This window comes from Homo sapiens, chromosome 19 (assembly GCF_000001405.40).
Source record: "Homo sapiens chromosome 19, GRCh38.p14 Primary Assembly".
Taxonomy (NCBI): domain Eukaryota; kingdom Metazoa; phylum Chordata; class Mammalia; order Primates; family Hominidae; genus Homo; species Homo sapiens.
In genome coordinates, this window is record NC_000019.10 from 19,414,861 (window position 1) to 19,442,566 (window position 27,706).

Below are 27,706 nucleotides of genomic sequence, written 5' to 3' on the forward strand. Positions count from 1 at the left end.
GAGTCCTGAGGTCATTTTGGGTGTCTGTAGGGTGAGGATGGGGCAGGACATGGGGAGGGAGAACTTAGGGCTGCCTCTGGTTTCTCAGGGCAGCCTTAAAAAAAAACTATAGTGGCCAAGTGTAGTGGCTCAGGTAACCTTAGCTCTTTGGGAGGCTGAGGTGGGAGGATTGCTTGAGGCTAGGAGTTTGAGATTGGCCTGGACAACATAGTGAGACCTGCCCCCGCCCCCCTCCCCCCAAAAAAACCCCAAAAAACTGTAGTAGTGTTGAGTAGGTGATGTCTTTACTTTTTTTTTTTTTATGTTTTTTAGACGGAGTTTTGCTCTTGTTGCCCAGGCTAGAGTGCAATGGCATGATCTCAGCTCACTGCAACCTCCGCCTCCTGGGTTCAAACAATTCACCTGCCTCAGCTTCCCGAGTAGCTGGGATTACAGGCATGTGTCACCATACCCAGCTAATTTTGTATTTTTAGTAGAGACAGGGTTTCTTCTCCATGTTGGTCAGGCTGGTCTTGAACTCGCGACTTCAGGTGATCTGCCCGCTTTGGCCTCCCAAAGCCCTGGGATTACAGACGTGAGCCACCACGCCCAGCCTTTTTTTTTTTTGGAGATGGAGTCTCACTCTGTTGCCCAGGCTGGAATGCAGTGGCACAATCTTGGCTCACTGTAACCTCCGCTTCCCAGATTCAAGCGATTCTCCTGCCCCAGCCTCCCAAGTAGCTGCGATTACAGGCGTGCGCCACCATGCCGGGCTAATATTTTTTTTTTTTTTTTTTTTGAGACAGTCTCACTTTGTCACCAGGCTGGAGGGCAGTGGCATGTTCTTGGCTCACTGCAACTTCTGCTTCCTCGGTTCAAGCAATTCTCCTGCCTCAGCCTCCCAAGTAGCTGGGACTACAGGCACATGCCACCACGCCTAGCTAATTTTTGTATTTTTGGTAGAGACAGGGTATCACCATGTTGGCCAGGATGGTCTTGATCCCTTGACCTCGTGATCCACCCACCTTGGCCTCCCCCAAAGTTGGAATTGCAGGCATGAGCCACCACGCCCGGCCGACTTTACATTTTAAGAGCATAAAACTACTTTTCCCTGTATGGTTTTTTTTCCCCCCCAAGAGACATGGTTTTGCTCTGTCACCCAGGCTAGAGTGCAGAGGCTCATGATCACAATCACTATAGCCTCGACCTCCTGGACTTAAGCCATCCTCCCACCTTAGTCTCCTAAAGCACTGGGATTACAGGTCCCCATCTATTATAAGATGTAATTGCACTTAATTTGTAGACATCCTTCAAGTGATATGTGGGTGACCATTTAAAGATACAAAAAAGGAGCACATGGAAATGGGAGGAGCCAACTAAATATCAGGTCCTGCACTGGGCTCCAGTGGTTGACTGTGTTAGTCCCGGGCAAGAGCGAGGGCCTTAACACTGCCAAGGATGCTGGATGAGACCTGGTTAAGGAAATTGAACATGTTTTGTTCAGATGAGAGATGATTTGGGGTGGGGGTGGTGGCAGGTTCCGGAAGGCCCCAGGATCTTGGCTCAAGACTGGACTGAAGGCCTTTCCTGATGCTGGCACCAGGCAGGCTTGCTCACTCCCTTGGGAAATACAGAGGGGGTTACTCTTACTTTCCAGAGATGAGATCAGGTGACCCTATTGCAAAAGGCAGCAGAAGTGGACAGTGGCTACCTGGGGAAGGAGCTCAGCATTGAGTGAGCAGCTCAGAATCTTACACTCACCTTCTATGAAGTTTAAGATGAAGGGAGCTGCTCTACTCTGTTGCCTTGGTTTATTGCATTAGGGAAAAGAATACTTAAATTGCTTGGAAAAATTGGAGTAGTTTTGAGCTGTTTAGCCAGTCTTCTGAGTTTGTAAACTACTCTTGGTTGTTTTTTTTTTTAAACTTTTTTTTTGTTTTGAGGCGGAGTTTCGCTCTTGTTGCCCAGGCCAGAGTGCAATGGCTCTATCTTGGCTCACTGCAACCTTGTCTCCAGGGTCCAAGCGATTCTCCTGCCTCAACCTCCCAAGTAGCTGGGATTACAGGCATGCACCACCATGCCTGGCTAATTTTTGTATTTTTAGTAGAGACAGGGTTTCACCATGTTGGCCAGGCTGGTCTCGAACTTCTGACCTCTGGTAATCTGCCTGCCTCGGCCTCCCAAAGTGCTGGGATTACAGGTGTGAGCCACCGTGCCCGGCCTAAAACTTATTTTTTAAAGTTAATCCGTTGACATTTTAGAGCTTAAGCTGCTTCGGCAGATACCCTGTGGAATGAAATGCAGCTGGGCTTTGCATCACCACACAGTGAAGTGACTGGTGTAGGAGATGTGTTGCTGGCTGTAGGATTCTCTAAGCAGAGCTTCTTAGTTGGTGGGCTGGGATGAGTGACAGGGGTGCAGACGTCCTTGTGGGTAAGTGGCCCCTGCCCTTGACCAGCTCCTTAGGCTGAGAATAGCCTCATCTTACTCCAGTGTCTTCCACACTTAGAATTCTTACTACATGGCAGAAGCTGAAAAAGATGGGGCATCTGATTACCCCCCCACCCACTATTCTGAGAAGAGAGATGATTTTTCTTGGCTCTCTCAGTCTCAGGGTATCCACAGCTCCTGTGGAGAAGGGGTTCCTCTGCACGCTGCACTAGAGGAGTGTTGGGTGCGGGGGGTGGAGTTGGCCATTCACCCTCCTGGACCTCAGGATTTATGGAAAGTCATACTGGGAACTAAGGGCGAAAGCACAGGTTGCTGTGGTTATTGTTGATGTCCTGAAACAGGAGACTGTTCATACTTCACTCTCAAAATATGGAGAGCCCTCAGAGGTTTCTGAGCATGACAATATCGACTTGAATTGGGCAGAAGAAAGGCCATTGATAAAAGGCAGGCATGAGCTAATATGGCCTTGGATTTGCCTGACGGAATAAAAAGCAGGGACAGGTGCCAGAGACACTGCAGGAAGATTGGGTAGGGATTAACTGGATACCAAGGGCTGAGGACAGTTCATCTGTTTGACAACTGTTGGAGTGCCTTCCCTGCTCGACCAGTGCTGAGCCCCAGGGGTGTCTGGTTGTGAGGGAGATTCCTGCCTTCCGGGGTCTTAGAGCCTCGTGGGGGAAACAGGGCAGGGTGTCATGATGCAGACATCTGGGGCACTCAGCTAAAGGGCGGGCAGGAGCGGTGTCGTAGCAGTGGCAGCTGAATGACGACTGGAGGGTGACATAGGCCCTCAGATTGTGGATCTTTGGTTTTAGGGGTAGTGAGCTAGGTCCTGGAGGGTGCTCTGGGACAGCTGGGTATTGGCCCTGGGCAGTCATTGTCAGCTGTGATGGCCGAGGATGCAGTGGGTGAGGTGTGGAGGCCCCATGTGACCATCAGGACCTTCATGAATGAAGAGAGCATGGCTCTCTGACCCCATCTGACTGGCCAGCTCCAGGGGCAGGTGTAGAATTTGATCCGTCCTCGTGTGTCCCCCTCTCCAAACTGTAGTGCTTTGTGTTAGGTGAAAGTGTGACAAGTAATAGTTGAAAGAATGAAATATCCAAGGGACCATCTCCATACATTGGAAAAGTTTGTTCTGCTCTGTTCCTATGAATGAAATAGCAGCAGATGGATGGAAGTTCGAGGAACACAGACTTGACTTAGCCTGAGAAAGATCTTTGTAGCAGTTGGAGGTATCGGGAAGAGGCTCAGTGTGAACCCAGAGCCCTGGGAGCTGGTTGGGAACCCACATTTTCTAGATTTCTGAGGATTTTCCAGCTTGAGGTTTTGGACACTTTTCCAGAAAGACCCAGAGCGATTAAGACACGTCTCTGAAACAACCACATGAATTATTCTAACAGCTGCTGCTTGCTGGTTTTAGGAAGTTTCCTTGTTTCATGCACTGCTCAAATGTTTTCAGATTCTAGCTCTTTTGGCAGAGTTTGGGGGAGAAGACAGGTGGGTGTCCCGCTGTGACACTGGTTTTGAGAGTGGGGAGGGGTTGTGGTCGCCGGAAGGAAAAGAGCCCTGGGGATTTGCCACTTGGGTAAAAATGACTTGGTATCTGACTAGTAATCACCAAGACCCAAACAGGGTCATTTTGGGGTGGAAGTGAAGTATCAGATGAGTTAGGTGGGAGTGGGCTGGGATGTACTCTGGCTACTGCCCACTCCAAAAGGCCTCCTAGCTGGGCCTGGGCTGTCTCTCAGGGCCTGTACCCTCCACCATCCTTGAATTCAGTGGCCAGGGAACCCGTCCCCTCCCCCTGGTCTGTGCCTGCTCTGCTCATTGCCTCACATGTGTGAGCACTCGGTGGAAGGAGGAAGGGATGTCTGCACACACTCCCTGTCGAGGGACCCTGGCTTGCTCCTGTGGTGCCCTAAGCATGTAGTTGGCATGCATGTGTGTCACAATGAAAATGAAGATGAGAATTGGTCCTAGTTTATGACCCAGGCCGGGTAGTATTTGTCGATCCTTCCAGCCCCTTCCTGCATCTCGTACACTGGCAGACAGGGACTCAGAGGCCAGGTGGCTGTTCCTGCCCATGGAACTCTGAGGGTTTCCATGCCTTCTACAGCTGGGCTCAGTCCTGGGAGTTTCTAGCAATTCAGTAGAGGGTTAGGTTAACGTGCACTTAGAGGAATAGAGGAATCCTGGGTCTGTAATGATCTCTACATCTTTTTTTTTTTTTTTTTTTTTTTTAAGATGGAGTCTTGTTCTGTCACCCAGGCTGGAGTGCAGTGGTGCAATCTCAGTTCACTGCAGCCTCCGCCTCCCAGGTTCAGGTGATTGTTGTGCCTCAGCTGCTCGAATAGCTGGGATTACAGGCACAAGCCACCATGCCCAGCTAATTTTTGTATTTTAGTAGAGATGGGGTTTTGCCATGTTGGCCAGGCTGGTCTTGAACTCCTGACCTCAGGTGATCCGCCTGCCTTGGCCTCCCAAAGTGCTGAGACAGGTGTAAGTCACCGCCCTGGATGATGCCTACCTACATCTTTGGTAGAGGAAGTTTTCCCAGAGCCTTGGGAAGGATCCAGTCCTAGGACCGTCTCAATCAGATTGTTCTCAATGGTACAGCGGTTCAGGTTTGAGCCTGGGCCTAGGAGGTGGCTGACCTGGGTCTGGATTCCCATCTGACTTATTAAGTGTGTGACCTTGGGCAACCATCTTGACTTTTTTTTTTTTTTTTTTTTTTTGAGACAGAGTCTCACTCTGTCACCCAGGCTGGAGTGCAGTGGTGTGATCTCAGCTCACTGCAACCTCTACTTCCCAGGTTCAAGCGATTCTCCTGTCTCAGCCCCCTGAGTAGCTGGGATTATAGGCACGCACCACTATATCCAGCTAGTTTTTTTTTTTTTTTTTTTTTTTTAAGTAGAGACGGGGTTTCACCATGTTGGCCAGGCTGGTCTCGAACTCCTGACCTCAGGTGATCCGCCCGCCTCGGCCTCCCAAAGTGCTGGGATTACAGGCGAGAGCCGTCGCGCCCAGCCCATCTTGACTTTTTTTTTTTTTTTTTTGATACGGGGTCTCGCTCTGTCACCCAGGCTGGAGTGCAGTGGCGCGATCTCGGCTCACTGGAAGCTCTGCCTCCCAGGTTCCCGCCATTCTCCTGCCTCAGCCTCCCAAGTAGCTGGGACTACAGGCGCCCGCCACCACGCCTGGCCAATTTTTTTTTTTTTTGGTATTTTTAGTAGAGATGGGGTTTCACTGTGTTAGCCAGGCTGATCTCGATCTCCTGACCTCGTGATCCGCCCGCCTTGGCCTCCGAAAGTGCTGGGATTACAGGTGTGAGCCACCGCGACCAGCCCCATCTTGACTTTTTTTAACCTCGGTTTTCTCTTCTGTCAGGTGTGGATATCGGCGGTAGTCCCTTGCATGAAGTGCTGATAACAGTGTGGGTTCCATCGTGTGAAGTGTGGGTACGATGACAGTCCCTCGTGTGAGTGTGGGTATGATGACAGTCCCTCGTATGAGTGTTGGTATGATGACAGTACCTCGTTCTGTGGTTATGAGGATTAAATGAAATCAGGCATGTAACGTGTTGGCACATTGCCTGGCACCAAATAAAGAATTCAGTAATTGTTAGCCACTGTTTCCTCTTTCAGTAACAAAACCTCTTGTCAACATATTAGAGATGATTCTCTTGGTGTCCCCAAAGTTTTCAGAAGTGCGCTTTTCTCTAGCAGTTTGAATCCAGGTGCCTAGCGGTAACTTTCTCCGTTGAGGGTCAGGTCCTCCCCATCCTGCCTCAGCAATGCCCGACGGACAATGGGGGAGGCCTGGACTGTGAGGATGCACGAGCAGTCCCATTCTGGGGACAGAGACAAGCAGGGCCTGGCTTGGCTGCATGTTAGTGCTGGCATAGGGGTTAGGTAGGGTCTGGATCTGCTTGAGGTGGCTTGAGATAGAGGGAGGGAGGGCCAGGGAGGTGAGGGCAGTAGGCCTCCTTGGAGGAAGAGAAGGCTGGCCCAGTGAAAGCCAGTTGAATGGATGAGTGAACTAACGCCCCTGCCCCTATGGCCCTGCCCCTCCTCACCCCTTCTGGCCTGTACTGTCCCTTCGCCTGTCCATACCAGTTTCCCAGGGCATGTCTTGCATGTAGGTTGGGTTGTCTAGGCAGCGCTGTGCTTCAGTGACACTTTGTGGTTGACTTGGGACCCTGACCACACTGAGAGCAGCGCGCTTCTCTGGGTTGGATGGCTGGGTTCTCAAGGACCAACGGCTTAGAATTGTGGAGGGTGGAGTGTGTCCCGGCCCTGTGTTTGTTTGCCTGCCTGCTGACATGAAGCCTGATGTGTGCAGCCACTCTACTGTGTGCGAGGGAAGAAAGACATCCTAGTCCGTGTTGGACATGGGCTCTGTGTGGCAGAGTTCAGCCTCTTGTGGGGCCCCGTCTTACTCTGGGGGTGATGCAGGTAAAGTCTGCTGAGGACCTAGCCTAAGGCTGTGTAGTCTGACAGATTTCTTCAGACCTTCTCTCTCTTTTTTTTTTTTCTTCTTTTTTGAGACAGAGTCTCACTCTGTTGCCCAGGCTGGGAGTGTGCAGTGGTGCAATCTTGGCTCACTGCAACCTCCACCCCCTGGGTTCAAGCAGTTCTCCTGCCCCAGCCTCCCACGTAGCTGGGATTACAGGCTCCCACCACCATGCCCAGCTAATTTTTGTATTTTTGGTAAAGACTAGGGTTTCACCATGTTGGCTAGGCTGATTTCGAACTCCTAACTTCAGGTGATCTGTCCTCCTTGGCCTCCCAAAGTGCTGGGATTACAGGCGTGAGCCACTGCACCCAGCCAGACCTTCTTATTTTTAGGCAGTGATTCTAGTGAAATTTACATTGTTCTTTATAACATATCAGCATTTTCATACTGAAGCCTCTTCCCAGCAAGGAAAACGCCATTTGAGGCAGAAACAGCAAGCATATTTCAAGGCTCTGGGATTGCTTGCTTCCCACCGCAGGAGGCAGGCGGTTTGGCCTTTGCTATCTGGCTCCTCTTGGAGCAGGGTTCCCCAGGTGCCAGCCCCCACCAGCACAGTTTTTCTCTCTGCTTGCTCCCTGGAAGCTGGCTGTTGGGCCACACAAGCAGAACTCCTCCTAGCTGGCAGAGCCCCACGTCCACCTGGCACCTGCTTTCCCCAAGCCTCGGTGTCCCTTCTGTGACATCTAAGACTTCAGGGAGGCATTGCTTCCTCCATCTTGGCCTCAGTTTATCCTGTAAGGGCTGGGGATAGTGGTGAGGACAGTTGACAGTTCTGTGAAACACTCTGAGGAGCCCTTGCTCTTCTTGCATCTTCCAATCATACTTTTATTGTCTGATACTATACATTGTCAAGGAGGTGTGGAGTATGTGTACAGCCTTGCATTTCTCTATTCTTTTTGTTTTTGTTGTTTTTTTTTTTTTGAGATGGAGTCTGGCTCTGTCACCCAGGCTGGAGTGCAGTGACGCGATCTTGGCTCACTGCAAGCTCCGCCTCCCGGGTTCATGCCACTCTTCTGCCTCAGCCTCCCAAGTAGCTGGGACTACAGGCGCCCACCACCACGCCCGGCTAATTTTTTGTATTTTTAGTAGAGACAGGGTTTCACCGTTTTAGCCAGGATGGTCTCGATCTCCTGAACTCATGATCTGCCCGCCTCGGCCTCCTGAAGTGCTGGGATTACAGGCGTGAGCCACTGCGCCCGGCCTTTTGTTTGTTTTTGAGTTAGGATTTCGTTCTGTCATCCAGGCTGGCGTGCAGTGGCACAAAAATGGCTCACTGGAGCCTTGACTTCCTGGACTCAAGTGATCTTCCCACCTCAACCTCCCGAGTGGCTGGGATTGCAGGTGCGCACCACCACTCCCAGCTAATTTGAAAATATTTTGTAGAGACAGAGTCCCATTGTATTGCCTAGGCTGGTCTCAAACGCCTGGGCTCAAAGCAGTCCTCCTGTCTGTCTCCCAAAGTGCTGAGGTTACAGGCATGAGCCACCACACTTGGCCTATTTCTCTCTTAATTGGCGTATGCGGTGGCGGCTGAGATTTGCTGATAGATTTTGCCATTGTTATAGTTTCTTCATTTATACTTTGCAGCATTTCAGTCATCACATGATTTTTGTGATGGCTGTGGTGCGTCATCAGTTTGCCGCAGTGATGAAGCTTCTGGGACTAAGAACCAGCTTGTTGGCCTGGTTCTTGGGCAAGGCCCTGAGAATCCTGGGCTGAATGCCCCCCTGAGCTGACCACGTGGCCTTAGCCAGGGCCATTGGTGCCATGGCGTGGTTAGTGGATGGTTCCAGCCAAGTCTGAGAATTTACCGAATTGACTGTTTGATTTGGCAGCTGATGGTCAGAGAAATTGAATTCTGCCTCTTAGCAAAGGAAGCTTGGTGGATTTCTAGAATTCTTTGTTGTAGAGGGGGTTGGGGATGGCGTGGGCAGAATGAATGCGAAGTGTGGGGGCTTGAGGTCTGCCAGGCCCTCCCACTTGCCCTAAACTGGACTTGGAGGTGTCTGGAAGGTTGTGGGTGGACAGCACTGACCTTGCTGCTTGGCCAGTTGTTCCCCAGCCACTCTGGATTCGGATCTAGGTGGACCCTATGGTATCCTAGAAACTACCTTTATGTTCTTTTCTTTTAAGAAACAGTGTCTTGCTCTGTCATCCTGGCTGGAGTGTAGTTGCATGATCATGGGTCACTGTAACATTTAAACTCCAGGGCTCAAGTGATCCTTCCACCTCAGCCTCCCGAGTAACTTGGGACTACAGGTATGCACCACCACACCCAGCTAGTTTTTAAATTTTTTATAGAAACAGGGTCTCACTGTTTTCTAGGGCTGGTCTTAAACTCTTGGGCTCAAGTGATCCTCCCACCTCAGCGTCCCAAAGGGCTGGGATTACAGGCATGAGCCACTGCATGTGGCTTTGTAAGTTTTTGTTGTTGTTTTTGATACAGGGTCTTGCTCTGTCGTCCAGGCTAGAGTGCAGTGGCGTGATATTGGCTCACTGTATCCTCCACCTCCCAGGCTCAAGTGATTCTCCTGCTTCAGCGTCCTGAGTAGCTGTGACCATAGGCATGAGCCAGCATGCCCAGCTAATTTTTGTATTTTTTGTAAAGACGGAGTTTTGCTATTTTGCCCAGGCTGGTCTTGAACTCCTGAGATCAAGAGGTCTGCCCCCCTCAGCCTCCCAAAGCGCTGGGATTACAGGTGTGAGACACTGCGCCTGACCTCCACTGAGTTTTTAAATTTTTTGTAGAGATGGGGGTCTCTCTCTGTTGCTCAGGCTGGTCTCGAACTCCTGGCCTCAAGTGATCCTCCTGCCTCGGCCTCCCAAAATGCTGGGATTACAGGCATGAGCCATCATGCCTGGCCTGGCGCTTTACTTTTGACCATGTGACACACCTGTGGTTGGGGTCTGGGGCCTCAGAGGCAGCGACTGTGCTGTGCATTGGTGAAGGAAGCATCCTCACCTTTCCAGGAGGTTGCCCATATGACAGGTTAGGTGTTGTTCCTGCTTGAAAAACAAACTTGAGCTGGGTGTGGTGGCTTGTGCCTGTAATCCCAGCACTTTGGGAGGCTGAGGCAGGATGATTACTTGAAGCTAGGAGTTTGAGACCATCCTGGGCAACATAGTGAGATCCCATCTCTACAAAAAATAAAAAAGGTGTGGTGCAGTCATTGACACCTATAATCCCAGCCCTTTTGGAGGCCAAAGTAGGAGGATTGCTTGAGGCCAAGAGTTCAAGACTAGCCTGTGCAACAATAAAAAAAAAAAAAAAACCCAAACTTGAGAAAACTTGCCATAAGAATAGAATAACTGGAGGTTTTATTTCTTGGCATTAAGTGAACAAAACCCAGCCACTGACCGTAAAGGTAATACAATTAGTTGAAATATTGCAGTGTGGGGAGGCTATTTGGGTGGCAATTTGTTGGGGACAAGGCTGGCTGTCATTAGAACCTTCTGTGTGCATTCTCCTATGATGGAGGCAGTGTCTTCTGCCAGATGGAGCCTTTTGGGATCCTCCCAAATTTTTTTATTTTGACTGGTCCTGGCCATTCGGCTGTTCCCTCCCCTCCCCTTTATTAGAGTCATCCCAAGAGGACTCTGTGCTTTGTGGTCACAGGTCACACAGGTGCATGTGCAAAGGAGATGGCCTGTTTAGAGGTGAATGAGGTGGGAGCACCAGATAGTTGTTTACCCCCTTTCCCCTTACTCTATTCAGGAGCACTTGACCAAGCCATAATTAGCATGCTTTGCACATTTCCAATCTGAAATGATTGGCAAAGAAATGCCCGCTCTCTTGTTCCAGTTGGGTACCTCAGGCGGGGTCACTGGGCATTTTGTTTTTCACCCAGCATCTGTGGACTCAGCCACACACCGGCCTGGCAGACAGCTCCCCAGTGCAGCAACTCCCATGGGCCCAAGGGATTATAGGCAGGCTTGGAGCTCAGAACTTGACAGGGGACATAGTGGTTTTCTTTTTCTTTTCTTTTCTTTTTTTTTTTTTAGACAAGGTCTGGCTCTGTCGCCCAGGCTGGACTGCAGTGGCTCAGTGTCTGCTCACTGCATCCTCCACCTCCTGGGCTTAAGGCATCTTCCCATGTCAGCCTCTAGCGTAGCTGGGACTACAGGTGCTCCGCCACGCCTGGCTAATTTTTGTATTTTTTGTAGGGATGGTGTTTTGCTATGTTGTCCAGGCTGGTCTCGAACTTGTAAGCTCACGCAATCCATCCACCTCGGCCTCCCAAAGTGCTGGGATTACAGGCATGAACCACTGCACCTGGCCCCTGCAGACATAGTGGTTTTCTTTTTAATGATGTTAATTAGTAGGGGCACTATGGGTGGGTTGTCTGGAGTTTCCCTTGTCTAGAGTTAGATGTGATGGGAGCTCAGGGCTCATACCCAGCCGTGGGTCCATATAAGTCTTCGTGTGTCTAGCTTGGGTGCTCCAGGAAGTGTATTTGGGATGTCTCTGGCTTCTATTCCACAAACTTAGAGGAGAAGTTTGTACCCAAGATGAGCTAGTCATCTCCATTCACACAACAAGCATTCCTTGGCTTATGGCTGTGAGACAAGGCTAGAGTCCCCGGGAGGTACTGTTCTTCTGCAGCTAAGAGCTGGGATCAGGCCGGCAGACTTGTCCATCTATGACATAATGTGTGGCCGCTGCTGTTACCTCACCATTCCATGTGTTTCCAGTGCTTTTTAATTTAATTTTTATTTTTTTGAGATAGAATCTTGCTCTTTTGCCCAGGCTGGAATACAGAGATGCGATCTTGGCTCACTGCAGCCTCCGCCTCCTGGGTTCCAGTGATTCTTGTGCCTCAGCCTCCCGAGTAGCTGAGACTACAGGCACACACCCCTACCCCTGGCAAATTTTTTTTGTATTTTTAATGGAGATGGGGTTTCACCATGTTGCACAGGCAGGTCTCGAACTTCTGGCCGCAAGCGATCCACCCGCCTCAACCTCCCAAAGTGCTGGGATTACAGGCGTGAGCCACTGCCCCCGGCCTCCAGTGCTTTCTTTATGCGGCTTATTTGAGAAGCGGAGGGAAGGACTAGTTGGTAGTGAAGCATGTCAGTGGCATGGCTGAGCTGGGGAGCAGAGTTTCAGAACCATGCTTTGTTTGGCACCATGGGTATACCAGGCTCATGTGCTTTTTTTCTGTACACGCTTTGGCATGTGATGTGTGTGGCTCTGCCTTGAGGACATTATGCTGAGTAAGAGAAGTCAGGCTCAAAAAGACACACTTATGATTGCACCTATATGAGGTTCCTAGACTCTCAAATTCTTAAAGACAGAAGGAAGAAGGGGGGTTGCCAGGGGTTGGGGGCAGAGAGATGAGAGTGAGTATTTAATGGGGATAGAGTTTCAGCTGGGGAAGATGGTAAGTTCTGGAGATGGATGGATGATGGTTGCACAACAGTGTGACTGCACCTAATGCCACTGAACTGTGAACTCAAAATGGTTAAGATGTAAATTTTGTGTACGTTTTACCACAATAAAAAAATGAACCTTTCTGAATTCAGAAATATTCTATACCTTTATGACAACATGTATTCTGTCCTCTCAGAATTAGCTTGGGGACAAAGGGACAAAGGCACACACACTCATTTCCTAGCTTGTGCTAAGTACTGGGGGTGGGGGTGGGGTTAAAAAAATGCACGTGGTTCTAGAAGGCTCTTAATGACATCATCTTGGGATCACAATGTTAGAGTGCGGATATTCTATGGGTTTTCTTCAGTCCCTGGACAGGTGGGGTCATCCTAGGACCCCTGCAATCTTTAGGGGATTTAGGGAGAAACAGTGTCCAGGAACATCTGAGGTCTCTGTTCCCGTGCATTGCTTGGGGATTGAAGGTATTTCTTTCTTTCTTTCTTTTTTTCTTTTTAGATGGAGTCTTATTCTGTCGCCAGGCTGGAGTGCAGTGGTATGATCTTGGCTCACTGCAGCCTCCGCCTCCCAGGTTCAAGCGATTCTCCTGCCTCAGCCTGCTGAGTAGCTGCGACTACAGGCGTGCGTCACCACACCCAGCTAATTTTTGTATTTTTAATAGGGACATTTTTAGTATTTTTAGGGTTTTACCATGTTGGCCAGGATGGACTCGATCTCCTGACCTCATGATCCACCTGCCTCAGCCTCTCAAAGTGCTGGGACTACAGGTGTGAGCCACCGTACCCAGCCTCGAAGGTATTTTTTATTTTCCTATATCTGTTTGTCAGTGAGTTTCCTTTAATACAGCAGTGTGTTGGTATTTTTATTTTATTTTTATTTCGAGACCAGTTCCTAGATCCTCAGTATTAGAGAAGTCATTTCCTCTTTTGTTCTTGTGACATTTTCTTCTGGTGTCCTTTAATACTGCAATACATCAGGCATCTGAAATACTAAACACTTAAATGTTTCAGACACTTCCTAAGGCCTCAGTGTCATCTGCACGTAGACATTTGGTTTCTGGGCACTTAAGATCTGGGGTCGATAGGCAGTTTAGGACTGCTGCATGCACTGCCCAGGCAGCTGCTGGGAGCCTGGGTGGAAACAATAAGAGGAGCATCCAGATAGAGGTAGCAATGTTTTGAGGAACAACATTAATCATAATAATAAAAGAAAGAAGTAGTTGCTTCTGTTTGAGAAGCTGCCTGGTGCCAGGGCCTGTCACTGGGTTCTCAGGATGGTCTGGAGGCCTGAGGTAGGTTCCACGCAGGCAGGCAGGCTCCCCGGGAGGGCATTGGGCCCACTGTTTAACTGCCAGGTGAGCCAGGCTGGGCAGAATGTGCTAGGAGGAAGCTCGTGAGCATTTGGGATGGTTTGGAGGGAGGCCTGGAGTGCCAGGGAGCGAGAGGGGTGTGGTGCTGGAGTCTGAGCTTACCAGAGGGCAGGGCTCTGGACCCGCATGAGAACTGTGAATGGGGTTTTAGGGTGGGACACAGCCTCTGCCATAAGAAAGGATACGGGGAGTGCAGAGTGTGGGCACCACTGACACTGGGGCAACTCTCAATTCTCAGTGGTGGCCTGAGGGAAGCCCTTCAGACACAGGGTCCCCACAGCTCCCCAAATAGCATGCCAGGGGTGGGGCAGGAGGGGGACATTGGCCGCGCCCCGAAGCTCTGGACTCACCCCAGGGGCTGTGCCGTGCCCATGGCTGTAGTCTTGCCTATCTCCATGTGGCTTCTTCCTGGCACTGATTAACTATTTTAATTAAAGACAGCATTTGTATGTTTTTTTTTTTTTTTTTGCCTCCAGCCGGTGGTAGAAACCTCTTGGTTGGGTCCTGACAACTCGTGGAGGTCCCCATTTTGTAGTCTCCTCCTCCGTGCCCACGTGGGTGTTAGATGAGGTGATGCGCAAGCGCCTTGTGTCCATGGAGCATGGAGCCTTTGGGAAGTGGGATGCTCGATTTCAAGTAGCAAGTTTCAGCAAAAAGTTCCAGCATCGTGGTCCATGGTGAGGGGCTGGGGGGGAGAGCTTGCCTGAGTAACAGGTGCTTGAACCCAAAGGATGGGTGGGAGCTAGGAGGGGCTCTCCTGGCCATGGGAACGGTGCGTGCAAAGGTCTGGCACGGGGAGTAGGCAGGCGTGCTGGGTCTGAGGAATTGAAAGGAGGCCAGGTGGTTGGAGCGGGAGCATGGAACGTGTATGCTCCTTCACATGCACGTAGCGCACTTGCGGCTGAAGTGGGCCGGGCCTTGAAGGCCGTGGTGAGGTGCTCTGACGCTGGGTGGACCTGGGAAATTAAGGAGGGCCGTCTGGTTTATTATGGGGAGTAGAAGATGGTGGAAGTGGAAGACAGCCAGTACATGCCTTAGGCTGCCGGCCTGCCCCTGCCTGTCTCCTCCTTCAAGGAGGCTGTGGTTCCCATGGCTGAGGGAGGAGACAGGCAGGGGCAGACCAGGGGCCTACAACATGTACTGGCTGTCACCCTAATGGGAAGCTCAGTTTGAGAGCAGAGGTGGGAACTCCGGCCTCCAGTGCCAGCTCTGGTTGCCAAGGATGGGCTTGTGTGGCCAACCTCACGATTGGGTCTTGGTCCTCCCGGGGCTGATTCTCCGCATCTCTAGTCTGCCAAGTCATACTCTTCCCCACAGAGGGTTGATGGGGCTCTGTGCCTTGGGGAGAGCGGGGACTGCTCAGGGACCGACCTGAACACCTCCTCAATGTGCCTCTCCCCTGACTTCTTGGCGGCAGCTTGCTGCTGTGGCTAGGGCTACCTCTGTCTTTTTACTGAGTAGCTCATTGGGCAGTTTCCTCCTGATCCCCCTTCAAATCTCAGTATTGGGATTTGGGCCTTATGGTCTCTGTTGTTAAAGGTGGAAACAGCCATAGACAGTGTGTTCTTGAGTACTGACATGGCTGTTTCCCAGAAATACATTATTTACTAAGGTGGCAGGCAGTAGTGTGCTGACCCCAGACTGGAAAACTGGATCTGTGGCCCCTGCTAATTCTTCTCCAGCCAGCCAGCCAGCGCATGGTAGACCAGCCTGACTTCTGGGCTTCCTCAGGATGATCTGCTGTTGCCTTGCTTCAGTTTTTTCTTTCCAGATTGAGCTGGGGACTTCCCCACATTGAAAGTTTGATGGGACCATTAGCAAAGAGGGTCTGGGTGACCCTGTGAAGGGGGCATTCAGTTTGTGCAGGACCTAGGAGAGGGGCGGGAGAAGGTGAACGGTGTTGTTGGGTTTCACCTTGGATGTTGTTGGCCATGTCATGTTCCCAGGATTGGACTGGAGCCAAGCTGTGTTTGGATGCAGAACTAGTTGAAAAATTCTAGAGACAGCACAAGTTTTTGGTGACTACAGATGGTGATAGGTCAGTGGGTCTGGGCCCAGGGAAGGGACAACGGGGCTTCCTAGGGGCACCTGGTAGAGCCCATGCTTCCGGATCAGGTGCTGACAGCTGCAGAGACACCATCACTGTACCAGCCATGGGTGCCGCAACCCCAGCAACCCCATGGAACCGGAGTTCCCCAGGTAGTGGCCAGTGTCAGGCCATGTGTCCTTTCCTCAAATTAAAAGGACCTCGCTAGCCTGAGCTTGAGAGGATAAAATGGCAAGAAAGGACTTCTGTTGCCCAAAGTGCAGTGACTTGATTTCATGTAAATTGCCATAGCTACCTTCTCACCAAGGCTGATCTTCCCTCAGTTTGAGAAGTCCTTGTGTTTGGGTGGGTTGTATGGTAGGGGTGTGTGTGTGTGTGTGTGTGTGTGTGTGTGTGTGTGTGTGTAGTACCCAGGTGCAAGGTCAAAGCCAAACCATAATGATTTATCAAGGGAGCGGAAGAGTCTCTTATGAGCTGGTAATTGTGCACTTAAGGGTTACTTGATACTGCTTTAAATGTATGGGTTGGAGATAAAAACAGTAAAAGCTCTCTGAACTCAGCCAGTACGGGGTGGATGGCAAAACAGTCCAAATGATAGATTAGTGGAAAGCGATTACAGTGTATTTTCAAGAAATGCTGCTAGTTGTGATCATGCTGAGTGGTCTTCTGCTTGGTTTCCTCCTCTGTGAATCTTGCACTGATTGTATTGCAGGGCTCCTGCAGTGGGCTCCTCAGATCGGCCCCTTCTCCTTCAGGGTTAAACTATCCCTGCTCGTCCATTCAATAAATATTTATTAAGCGGCTGGGCGCGGTGGCTCACACCTGTAATCCCAGCACTTCGGGAGGCTGAGGCAGGTGGAACACAACGTAAGGAGTTCAAGACCAGTGTGGCCAGTATGGTGAAACCCCGTCTCTAATAAAAATATAAAAATTAGCTGGGCGTGGTGGTGCGTGCCTGTAGTCCCAGCTGCTCGGGAGGCTGAGGCAGGAGAATTGTTTGAACCCAGGAGGCAGAGGTTGCAGTGAGCCGAGATCGCACCACTGCACTCCAGCCTGAGCAACAGACCAAGACTTGGTCTCAAAAAAAAAAAAAAAAAAATTTACTAAGCACCACTTATGTGTCAGACACTGTTGTAGGTGCTTGAACTAAAATCGGGCATCAGGCAGATACCCCTGCCCTTGTGGTGTGTACGTTATTGCTGGGTGAGAAAGTTCATCGGCAACACAGTAGCTGTGTTGTGTGGAGTGTGGGAGGGGTGGTGCTGTGGAAGAAGAGGAGCAGGGTCGGGATGGTGGGCCTCTGTGAGGAGACATTTGAGCAAAGGCAGGGGTGGTGGGGGATCACACGGAGGGGTTAATTTTTTATTTTTATTTATTTTGAGATGGAGTTTCACTCTTGTTGCTGAGGCTGGAGCGCAATGGTGCGATCTCAGCTCACCACAACCTCCATCTCCCGGGTTCAAGTGATTCTCGTGCCTCAGCCTCCCGAGCAGCTGGGATTACAAGCATGTGCCACCACGGTTGGCTAATTTTGTATTTTTAATAGGGACAGGGTTTCTTCATGGTGTCCAGGCTGGTCTTGAGCTCCTGATCTCAGGTGATCTACCTGCCTCCATTTCCCAAAATGCTGGGATTACAGACGTGAGCCACTGTGCTTGACAGTGGTTTTTGTTTTGTTTTGTTTTTGTTTTTGTTTTTGTTTTTTGAGATGGAGTTTTGCTCTTGTTGCCCAGGCTGGAGTGCAGTGGCTCAATTTCAGCTCACTGCAACCTCTGCCTCCCAGGTTCAAGCGATTCTCCTGCCTCACCCTCCCAAGTGGCTGGGATTACAGGCATATGCCATCATGCCCGGCTAATTTTGTATTTTTAGTAGAGACGAGGTTTCGCCATGTTGGCCAGGATGGTTTCGAACCCCTGACCTCAAGTGATCCACCCCGCCTCAGCCTCCCAAAGTGCTGGGATTACAGGCATGAGCTACCGTGTTCGGCTGACAGTCGTTTTTTAAAGGTCGTTTTCAATTCGGGATGCAGATTGAATAGTTAATTGATAGATGAAATGACAGAACTAGGATTTTGTTTAAAACATAAAAAGACCTCAAAGTGGGGAGGGTCCTAGTGTGTTGGAGGCACGGCCAGGAGGCCAGTATGGCTGGAACAGAGTGAGCAGGCTGAAGTGGGGATGGGATGCTTGGGTCTGCAGGCAGTGTGTGGGCCTCTGGGGTTAGGAGAGGATGGGCTTCACTCTGAGTGAACTTTGAGTCCACGAGTGAAAGCAGAGAATATAGTTTGGAGACCTCCATCCCAGTAGAGGACAGTGTGGCCAGTGGAGGTGTGAGGAGTGGTTGGGCTCCAGATATATTTAATGGCAGAACCAACAGGCTTTCCTGAGTGACTGGGTGGTGGGTGGAGTCTGCCCAAGGGGACAACTCCAAATTTTAATTGCTGGGAGAATGGATTTGCCACAAGCTGGCTTTGAAAGCAGTGGTAGAGTGTGAAAGAAGTTACCTTAAGACTTCTTGCCAGTTGCACTGTAGGTACGATGTACTGTTTGTTGTGATTTGACTTTCCTCCACCACCCCCCTGCCCCAGGAAGATGTGATCTTGTGCATCTTGTGTTCACGCAGAGTAGGGTAGTTGGATCTTTGTCAAGTCTCAGTGATCCACATGCGTGCATCTATTTTGTCAGTCTGCTTGTCTTTGTATCCATGTCATACTGTCTTGATGTAGCTTTATGTTAAGTCTCAAAATCAGTTGTGGTAAGTCCTCCAAATTTGTGCCTGTTTTTCCATGTTGTTTTCGTTATTCTAGGTCCGTTGCACTTCCGTGTAGATTTTGGAATCAGTTTGTCATTTCTTCAAACCATCTGCTGGGAATTTTTGATTGAGATTGCATTGAATCTGTAGATCAGTTTGGGAGAGAATTGATACCTTCTGACCCATGAACAAGACACATGTCTTCATATACTTCAGTTTTCTTTTTTTTTGTTTTGAGATAAAACAGTATTTTACACAAGTGAGGCTATTGTGATTGATTCATGCAAACAACAACTTTAGAAACATCTTTTAAACATGTTCAGAGAGTGTATAACATACAACAGAAATTGATGAAAAGTGTAACACTAAAATAAAATTATTCTCATTTATTACTGCAAGGAGTACCTCCCCATACCCCCCCTTTTTTTGAGACAAGGTCTTGCTCTGTTGCCCAGGCAGGAATGCAGTGGCACAGTCACGGCTCACTGCAGCCTCCTGGGCTCAGGTGATCCTCCCACCTCAACCTGAGAAGTAGCTGGGACCTCAGGTGCACGCCACCACACCCAGCTAATTTTCAAAAATTTTTTTTGTAGAGATGGGGTTTTGCCATATTGGCCAGGCTGGCCTTGAACTCCTGAGCTCAATTGATCTGCCTGCCATGGCCTCCCAAAGTGCTGTAATTAGAGGCATGAGCCACTGTGCCCGGCCTTCTTTCATTTTTCTTGTTGTTTCATTGTAGTTTCTTTATCCTTAAGTATTTCACCTTTTTTGTGCTAATGTAGATGACTTTTTTCAGGTTTTGAGTTCTGATTGGTTTGTGCCTGTGTGTAGAAACACAGCTGATTTTTTATATATAGACCTTGATCCTGCAGCAGAACAGCACAGGACACCTGCTTCTGAGGCTTCCCACCCTCGGGGCAGAGAGGTCTTGGATTGGCAGATACAAAATAGTTAGGACTAATGCTGCCCATTGGGTTTCTCAGCTTGAATGGGGCTAAAAAGAGCGGCAGAAAGGGTTCTTCCTGAGGAGCTAGCCCTGTGCCTCATTTAGGAGGTGCCTAAAGGTCTTTCCATAGAGTTCACTGGTGTTGTCCCCTATCCTTATTTTTGCAAGTTCTCCTGTGGGAGTGTTTCTCGCCATCCATCAGCTGTGAATTGCCGTGAACCTAGTTTAAAAATAAAGGTTTCATATCAGAGCAAGCTCCTGGTAGTCCTGTGGGTGCAAAGAATGACAACAGAGGTGATGTTGACACTATTTGGCAAGCTACAACTGACAGAACTGCTTGGGAATCTGGGATTTGGCTGGTTCCTAAGGTTCAGCCTCTGGCCCATAGCCCTGGACGTCTGATGATACAAACCGGAAGTGGAAGTCCGAGGCATTTTCTCTATGACCTTGGAAGAGAAGTTCCTGAATATTGTAGAGCATTAGTTTTCCTGTCTGTAAGACAGGCAGCCTCTTTCTCTCTGGACAGCATCCCATGGGGATGACCATGACCTTTGGTTTTGGAGGTGAAGCCCTCTCGGTCTGGAGGGTGAAGTCCGCTCATTCCCAGGCACATCATGCCCTCATCTTGAGGGTAAACCTAGCACTGCCTTCACCAGGAATGGTGGCTGGTTTCCCTGGGGTCCATGACAGACAACATGATGGTGAGGAGGTTACATTGGGAGAATGAGCCCTGCGTGCTGCCTGTGTGCTCTGTGACCCTGGGCAAGTTCCTGAAGATCAGACACATCAGATCCCTTATCTGTAAAATGGGCATGATCCAGGAACCTGCCTCTACGGTTGCCTTGGGGATTCAGAGATGCTGTGTGAGCATAGTACCTGGAACATACTCCTAAGTACCTATTAAATGCTAGGTTTCTGGGTTGTTTTTTGAGACAGGGTCTCACTCTGTCGCCCAGGTTGGAGTGCAGTGGTGTGGGATCTTGGCTCACTGCAGCCTTAACCTCCCTGGCTTAGGTGATACTCCCACCTCAGCCTCCCAAGTAGATGGGACCACAGGCACACGCCACCACACCTGGCTAATTTTTGTATTTTTTTGTAGAGACAGAGTTTCACCATGTTGCCCGGGCTTGTCTCAAACTGCTAGGCTCAAGCAGTCCTCCTGCCTTGGCCTCCCAAAGTGTTGGGACTACAGGCGTGAGCCACTGTGCCTGGCCTGTTTCTGTTTTTAATGTCATTACTATTATAATAAAAACCCTGGGCTGGGCACGGTGGCTCATGCCTGTAATCCTAGCACTTTGGGAGGTCGAGGTGGGTGTATCGCCTGAGGTCAGGAGTTTGAGACCAGCCTGGCCAACATGGCAAAACCCCGTCTCTACTAAAAATACAAAAATCAGCCGGGCATAGTGGTGGGTGCCTGTAGTCCCAGCTACTCGAGAGGCTGAGGCAGGAGAATCGTGTGAACCCAGGGGTCAGAGGTTGCAGTGAGCCGAGATCGTGCCACTTCACTCCAGTCTGGGCATAAGATAAAAATAATTGTATTTCATCGTGTGACTGCTTTTTATGTCACCATCTGTATTGGTGAAGACAGTGTCTGGGACGTTGGCGTTCATTGGTTAGCACTGTATTGTTTCATACCTCAGAGATCAGTAGAAATTTGTTTCCTCCGACTGTCCCCATTGTGGAAGGTAGCTGAGGCAAAACTCAGGAAATCTGAAATTTTGCTATGTAATTCCAGGGGTTAGAGACATTTTAGAAATGCCAGTATGTTCCAGAAACCTTGCTTGGAAACACAGTGTTTCTTTCTCTGTCCTTTGCTTTAGGTTGGTCAGCACATTGTCTCAAGTAGCCTTTTGATGTCACTGTGGCCATGGCCAACTGGTAGGACCAGCACCCCATACCCCGAAGCCAGGTGAGTGCTTGGGGTGTAGTGTCTGTGGAAGGAAGGTTCCACGCATCCAGCAGGCTTCGGTCAGCTTCTTGGACACTTTAAAGTGAGTGCTGCTTCAGCCACCTCCTAGAGAAGATGGAGGGAGGCAGGCCCCCTGGGATCGCACACTGTGCAGTCTGTATGGGGCTGCCTGGCCCGTCCCTTCAGGCCTCAGGGAAAAAGAAACCATTCTGATTGGTCATTCATTTGAAAACCCTAGGTCTAAATAAGATGAGCCTGTCCTCTCTGAGGGGCAGGGGCAGAGGATAATCCTGGCCAGTGGCCTTTGCCCTCTGGCCATTCCCATGATTTCCCAGCAGTGATAGATGCCGTTAGACTTTTTCCTTATTCACCGCAAAGCCCAGGGCCCCACACTGGTTCTTGGAGCTGGTTGCCCTTACCTTGCCTCGTGCCTCATGGCAAAGCTAAGCTGCCCCCGCTGCGTGGAGCTCTTAGGCAGAGACTGTCAAGAGCTGTACCAGGGCATTGCTGGGTACCTTGGATTTTCTCTGTTACCATCAAGCCTGGTCAGCGACGTTTTGGCCCAAGGCTACCTACCTGGAGAAGAACGCAGAACTGAAAGATGTCTTAGAACTTGGAGGCAGCCCCTGGGTCAGCTGCTCCGTTTTATAGATGGGGACACACATGGGCCAGAGTTGGCAGGTGACTTGCCTAGGGATTCATGCCCCATCGAACAGGATCTTGCCGGTCACGCAGTGTGAGATGTGGCTGCTCTGCTGACCATGGCACAGAACAAGTGTTGCGGTCAGTTTTGTGAGGTTTCAGCTCTTCATATGGCAAGAAAATATGGGCATAGTCAGGTAATTCTGTTGTCAGGAAAACATTTCCAGAATGTTCTCCAAACAAAATGAAACTTTCGTGGTACTTATATTTTTATTTTTTATGTTTTGAGACAGGGTCTCACTCTGTCACCCAGGCTGGAGTGTAATGGCATGATCATAGCTCACTGCAGCCTCAAACTCCTGGGCTCAAGCGATCCTCCCCGCCTCAGGCTCCTGAATAGCTGGGAATACAGGCGTGTGCAACCACACCCAGCTAATTTTTGTATTTTTTGTAGAGACGGAGTTTGCTGTGTTGCCCAAGCTGGTCTTGAACTCTTGGGCTCAAGCGATTCTCCTGCTTTGGCCTCCCAAAGTGTTGGGCATACAGGCAAATTACACTCAAAAAAATTTTTTGAGATATAATTTGCATACCATACAATTCACCCATTTGAAGTGTGCAATTCAGTTTTTTATATATATTCAAGAGTTCCACAATTACCACCTTTATTTAATTCCAGAACATTTTCATTATCCCAAAAGGAAACAGCATACTCATTAGCAGTCACTCCTCATCTCCCCCTCCCCTTTCTACTGATGACCTCTAATCTACTTTCTGTTGATTTGCCTGTTGTGGACATTTATTGTAAATGGACTCTTATACTTGTGTAAGTGGCCTTTTGCGTCTGCCTTCTGTTAGCGTGGTTCATCCACATTGTAAGCATGAATCAGTGCTTCTTTCCTTTTTATGGCTGAATGATATTCCATTATATGGATGAACCACATTTTGTTTATCCATTCATTCATTGATGGACATTTGAGTTGTTTCTACTTTTTTAGTTATTGTGAATAGTGCTGCTTTTAACATTCGTGTACAAGCTTTTGTTTGAATGCCTGTGTTGCGTTCTTCTTAGTATATACTTAGGGGTGCAGTTACTGGATCATATGGTAACTTTCTGTTAATCTCTTTTCAGGAATTACCAGACTGTTATCCATGGCGCCTGCACTATTTTACATTCCCTGACACTTACACAGGGCTCTCAAACTCTTTGGAGACAAGTTCAGACTCAAAGTCTGTGCCAGTTTCCTACAGAGAGTTGAGACTTGTCAGAGCCTATTACCTGGTGCTGTTGTGCTGTAACTACTATTTGGGGGATGTCAGGCATTGACAGAAACAGAGGGTAGGACTAGGGACTCAGAGTCACAAAGCCACATGGCTCTCATCATGTTGGCTCACCTCCTTTTTGGAGATAGGCTCTCGCTCTGTCACCCAGGCTGGAGTGCAGTGGTGTGTTCATGGCTCACTGCAGCCTCAACATCCTGGGCTCAAGTGATCTACCTCAGTCTCCCAAATAGCTGGGACTGCCAGGTGTGGGCCACTGTGCCCAGCTTGAGCTCACCCCCTTTGTTGAGGGGGAAGCACCCACAGCCAGCCCAGGGAAGTGAGTGACTGCCTCTTGTCCTGCAGCCCAGGGCATTGTTTGAGGGCAGCAGGGCTGGCTGTAGTTTCTCCTAGGCCCCAGGCTGGGTACCCACCCCTCTGCCTGGCCCTTTCTTAACTCAGAAGCACATGGTCTGAGCAGTAGGTACTTGTTCAATGAATAAATGAATGGAGGAAACCTCCCTCTTCTCTGTTGCCAGCCAGCAGGGAAGACCCAGCCATAGCATTCAGGCAGTCAGTTTGGGAGTTCAGAAGGGAATTTCCAGAGGCCACCCCAGGTTTTCCTTTGGCCTGTGCTTGAAGGGACTTGATAGAAAAGGACAGTCTATAAACAGTCGTGGCACATGATACTTAGTGGTCAAATAGGCGGAAGCCACCCCCGAATAATTATTTCTTCAGGACTTATAAATGTGTCAGCTTGTGTGCACTTTTTGTTGTGGGTGTGTAAGACAGCCCAGCATATTGATAGATTTTAGGTTTTCTCCACAAAATGCAAGTTTCACCCACTCTTGGGTGTGTCTCACTCAGCACTAGCCCACACTTGCTTTAAGTGGAAATTATGGACTGTGATTGGCTGGGGTGTCCCCATTCCTGTCACCCAGGACCACATGAGCACAGTGGAGGGAGCAGGGCCGGAGGAGGGCTGGCCCTCAATGTGCCCAGCAGCTCCCTCCCATGTCTGAGGCACACAGTCTACACACAACTCCCACTTGTGTGTACATTTATTCTTATGGGCACAGGGGCAGTCTTGCCTGTTCATGGACTTGGTGTCTGCCCTTGAATTTGGCCTGTCAGGTCCTCTTTGTTAAGCAGGCACGCACTGCCTAGTGCTGGGTGTTAAGGATCAAAAAATGGGTGTGACTGTAGAAAAACAGATTGCATCACAGGACAGGTAATGCACATGGGCCTGGACCAAGGTGTGAATGATGCTCAGTCTTTCTAATATAAGAATCCTGCACGTTGGAGCACCACCAAGACATTTCTGGGTTGGCAAGCACATGGAGTAGACACTGTTCTAGTGATGGGAGTCAGGTAGTGCCGTGGTAGTTGCTTTTGGAATTCACAACTTCTCTCAGGGGTATTTGCAACATCTAGCAAAAGGACAAGTGGTCAGGTGCGGTGGCTCACTCCTGTAATCCCAGCACTTTGGGAGGCTGAAGCGGGTGGGTCATTTGAGGTTAGGAGTTCGAGACCAGCATGGCCAACATGGTGAAACCCCATCTTTACTAAAAGTACAAAATTAGCTGGGTGTGGTGATGCACGCTTGTAATCACAGTTACCCGGGGAGGCTGAGGCAGGAGAATCGCTTGAACCCAGGAGGCGGAGGTTGCAGTGAGCCAAGATCACGCCACTGCACTCCAGCATGGGTGACAAAGTGAGACCGTATCTCAAAAAACAAACAAACAAAAAACACAAAAAAGCAAAAAGACATGTGTTTACTCTTTGCTCCAGCAAATCCACTTCTGGAAATGTATCCGAAACATGGTCAGAAATAAGGAAGGATTACAAGGATTGTGTTCATTACAACACTCCGGAAACAAACAAAGCTGGGAATGACTTAGATGTGTCAGTGTTCAGACTGGGCAACTTGTGGTGGTGGCTCTGCCTACAGGGTGGTGCCTGAGCCCCTGAGTGAAGGGAGGAAGGAGTAGGTGATGTCTTCATTTGTGGTGGTGATGGGATTTCTAGTTGAAATGACAAGCAGAAAAAAGAACAATGTAAAGGAAGAAGAGATGGAGTGTGCTGTCACTTATCTAAGGAAAGGTGGGGGGATTTGCTCATTTTATTTTTATTTTTATTTATTTTTTATTTTTATTTATTTATTTTTTTTGAGATGGAGTCTTGCTCTGTCGCCCAGGCTGGAGTGGAGTGGCGCGATCTCAGCTCATTGCAATCTCCGCCTACCAGGTTCATGCCATTCTTCTGCCTCAGCCTCCCGAGTAGCTGGGACTACAGGCGCCCGCCACCACGCCCTGCTAATTTTTTATATTTTTAGTAGAGATGGGGTTTCACCATGGTCTCGATCTCCTCACCTCGTGGTCTGCCCACCTTGGCCTCCCAAAGTGCTGGGATAACAAGTGTGAGCCACCGTGCCCAGCCACTCATTTTATTTTTATACACCATAAAGGAACCACATTGTCACCTCCAGGAGAAGGGATGGAGAGGGCACTGGGAGACTTTTTCACGTGTCCTTTCTTTGTAGCATCATGTACGTGCTTCACATAATTATAAAACAAAAGCCAAGTGGTGGCAGTGGAAGGGGAAGCAATCCCTTAAAAACCAAAGACAAAAATGAATGAATCTAGGTACATGTCAGTTGTAACACACATTGGTGACTTAACCTCTCAGAACTTATTTCTGATAACTTTAAAACGTAGTTTGACTGTAAATGTTTTAGCGAGATACCCAATAAAGGTAAACAAATTTATTTCCTTCTTTCCTTCCCTTCCTTTCCTTCCTTCCCTTTCCTTCCTTTTCTTCCTTCCCTTTCCTTCCTTTTCTTCCTTCCCTTTCCTTCCTTTCCTTCCTTTCCTTCCCTTCCTTCCCTTCCTTCCCTTCCTTCCCTTCCTTCCCTTCCTTCTTTCCTTCCCTTCCTTCCGTTCCTTCCCTCCCCTCACTCTGTCACCCAGGCTGGAGTGCAGTGGTGCGATCTCGGCTCACTGCAACCTCCGCCTTCACGTTTCAAGTGATTCTCCTGCTTCAGCCTCCCGAGTAGTTGGGATTACAGGCGCCCGCCACCATGCCCGGCTAAAAACAACTTTCTTAAAATCTTCAGCTGTTTTTTGGAATCCTGGTTTTGGTTTCAGGGTAACAATATTAGCATTATTCCTGTTATATATTGTAGGAGAAAATAAGTAAGTAATGTCATTAAGAACCAAAATTTTCCACACAAAAGGAAAATGCAATAAAAACCCAAAGCACTAGCTTTTTTATTTTTATTTTTATTTTTGGGCAGGGTCTTGCTCTGCCACCTAGGCTGGAGTGCAGTGGTGTGATCATAGCTCACTGCAGCCTCCAGCAGTCCTTCCACCTCAGCCTCCCAAGTAGCTGGGACAACAGATGCACCACCATGTCCAGCAAATTTTTAAATTTGGGTTTGTTTTTGTTTTTGTTTTTGTTTTAAGACGGAGTCTCGCTTTGTCACCTAGGCTGAAGTGCAGTGGCGTGATTTCGGCTCCTTGCAAGCTCCGCCTCCCAGGTTCATGCCATTCTCCTGCCTCAGCCTCCCCAACAGTAGCTGGGACTACAGGCGCCTGCCACAACGCCCGGCTAATTTTTTGTATTTTTAGTAGAGACGGGGTTTCACCGTGTTAGCCAGGATGGTCTCTATCTCCTGACCTCGTGATCCACCCGCCTTGGCCTCCCAAAGTGCTGGGATTACAGGCGTGAGCCACCGTGCCTGGCCTGGTTTTTGTTTTTTGAGACAGAGTTTCACTCTTGTTGCGCAGGCTGGAGTGCAATGGCACGATCTCGGCTCACCACAACCTTTGCCTCCTGGGTTCAAGTGATTCTTCTGCCTCAGCCTCCTGAGTGGCTGGGATTACAGGCAAGCATCACCATGCCTGGCTAATTTTGTATTTTTAGTAGAGATGGAGTTTCTCCATGTTGGTCAGGCTGGTCTCAAACTCCAACCTCAGGTGATCCTCCAGCCTCAGCCTCCCAAAGTGCTGGGATTACAGGCGTGAGCCACTGCACCTGGCCAAGACCTGAAGTACTTTAAGTAAAACGCTTAATTCTCATTCTGCATTGGGAACATGGTAATTGTGTAAGACACACTGGGGTTGTATCAGAAGGACCCACAGGGGCCCTGCTGGCACAGATGGGGCAAGCGAGAGTGAACAAGAACAAGGAGCCCCTGAGTTAGATGTGTTAAAAATCCAAGGCTGGCTGGATGCCGTGGCTCACACCTGTAATCCCAGCACTTCGGGAGGCTGAGGCAGGTGGATCATTTGAGGTCAGGAGTTCAAGACCAGCCTGGCCAATATGGTGAAACCCCGTCTCTACTGAAAATATAAAAATTAGCTGGGTGATAGTGACGCACGCCTGTAATCCCAGCTACTCGAGAGGCTGAGGCAGGAGAATTGCTTCAGCCTGGGAGGCGGAAAGTT

General features: G+C 49.4%; 1 protein-coding gene and 1 non-coding gene across 43 annotated transcripts in view, besides 3 other annotated features; both read left to right on the forward strand.

Annotated features, from left to right (window-relative positions):
- The window catches only part of GATAD2A (GATA zinc finger domain containing 2A), a 123,090-nt gene that overhangs the window by 29,018 nt on the left and 66,366 nt on the right, over positions 1–27,706 (forward strand). For 11 of the 42 annotated variants that reach the window (NM_001384521.1, NM_001384522.1, NM_001300946.3 and 8 more), the window contains exon 2: positions 21,271–21,359. The exons of 19 other annotated variants lie outside the window; for them this stretch is intronic. Coding sequence is in view for 3 of the 23 variants with exons in the window: in XM_047439009.1 (XP_047294965.1) it covers positions 21,304–21,359 (56 nt within the window). In the remaining 20 variants the exon portion in view is untranslated. Of the gene's footprint in view, position 1; positions 12,802–12,835; positions 13,133–21,270; positions 21,442–27,706 lie in introns of those variants that run through there. 12 more of the 42 variants (NM_001384514.1, NM_001384512.1, NM_001384523.1 and 9 more) reach the window with 5 other exon arrangements.
- Positions 6,002–6,061: an enhancer, noted in NCBI's record as "active region_14353". NCBI's record gives its function as "activates an Ori minimal core promoter by ATAC-STARR-seq in GM12878 lymphoblastoid cells {active_cell/tissue: GM12878}" and the evidence as "EXISTENCE:reporter gene assay evidence [ECO:0000049][PMID:35858748]".
- Positions 13,212–13,715: an enhancer, noted in NCBI's record as "H3K4me1 hESC enhancer chr19:19538881-19539384 (GRCh37/hg19 assembly coordinates)". NCBI's record gives its function as "activates a minimal SCP1, AML or CMV promoter by ChIP-STARR-seq in naive H9 embryonic stem cells {active_cell/tissue: H9 hESC(naive)}" and the evidence as "EXISTENCE:reporter gene assay evidence [ECO:0000049][PMID:30033119]".
- On the forward strand, positions 20,203–20,298 carry MIR640 (microRNA 640). The gene has a single exon (NR_030370.1). It is a non-coding gene; the product is annotated as a microRNA 640 (primary transcript).
- Positions 21,170–21,775: an enhancer, noted in NCBI's record as "H3K4me1 hESC enhancer chr19:19546839-19547444 (GRCh37/hg19 assembly coordinates)". NCBI's record gives its function as "activates a minimal SCP1, AML or CMV promoter by ChIP-STARR-seq in primed H9 embryonic stem cells {active_cell/tissue: H9 hESC(primed)}" and the evidence as "EXISTENCE:reporter gene assay evidence [ECO:0000049][PMID:30033119]".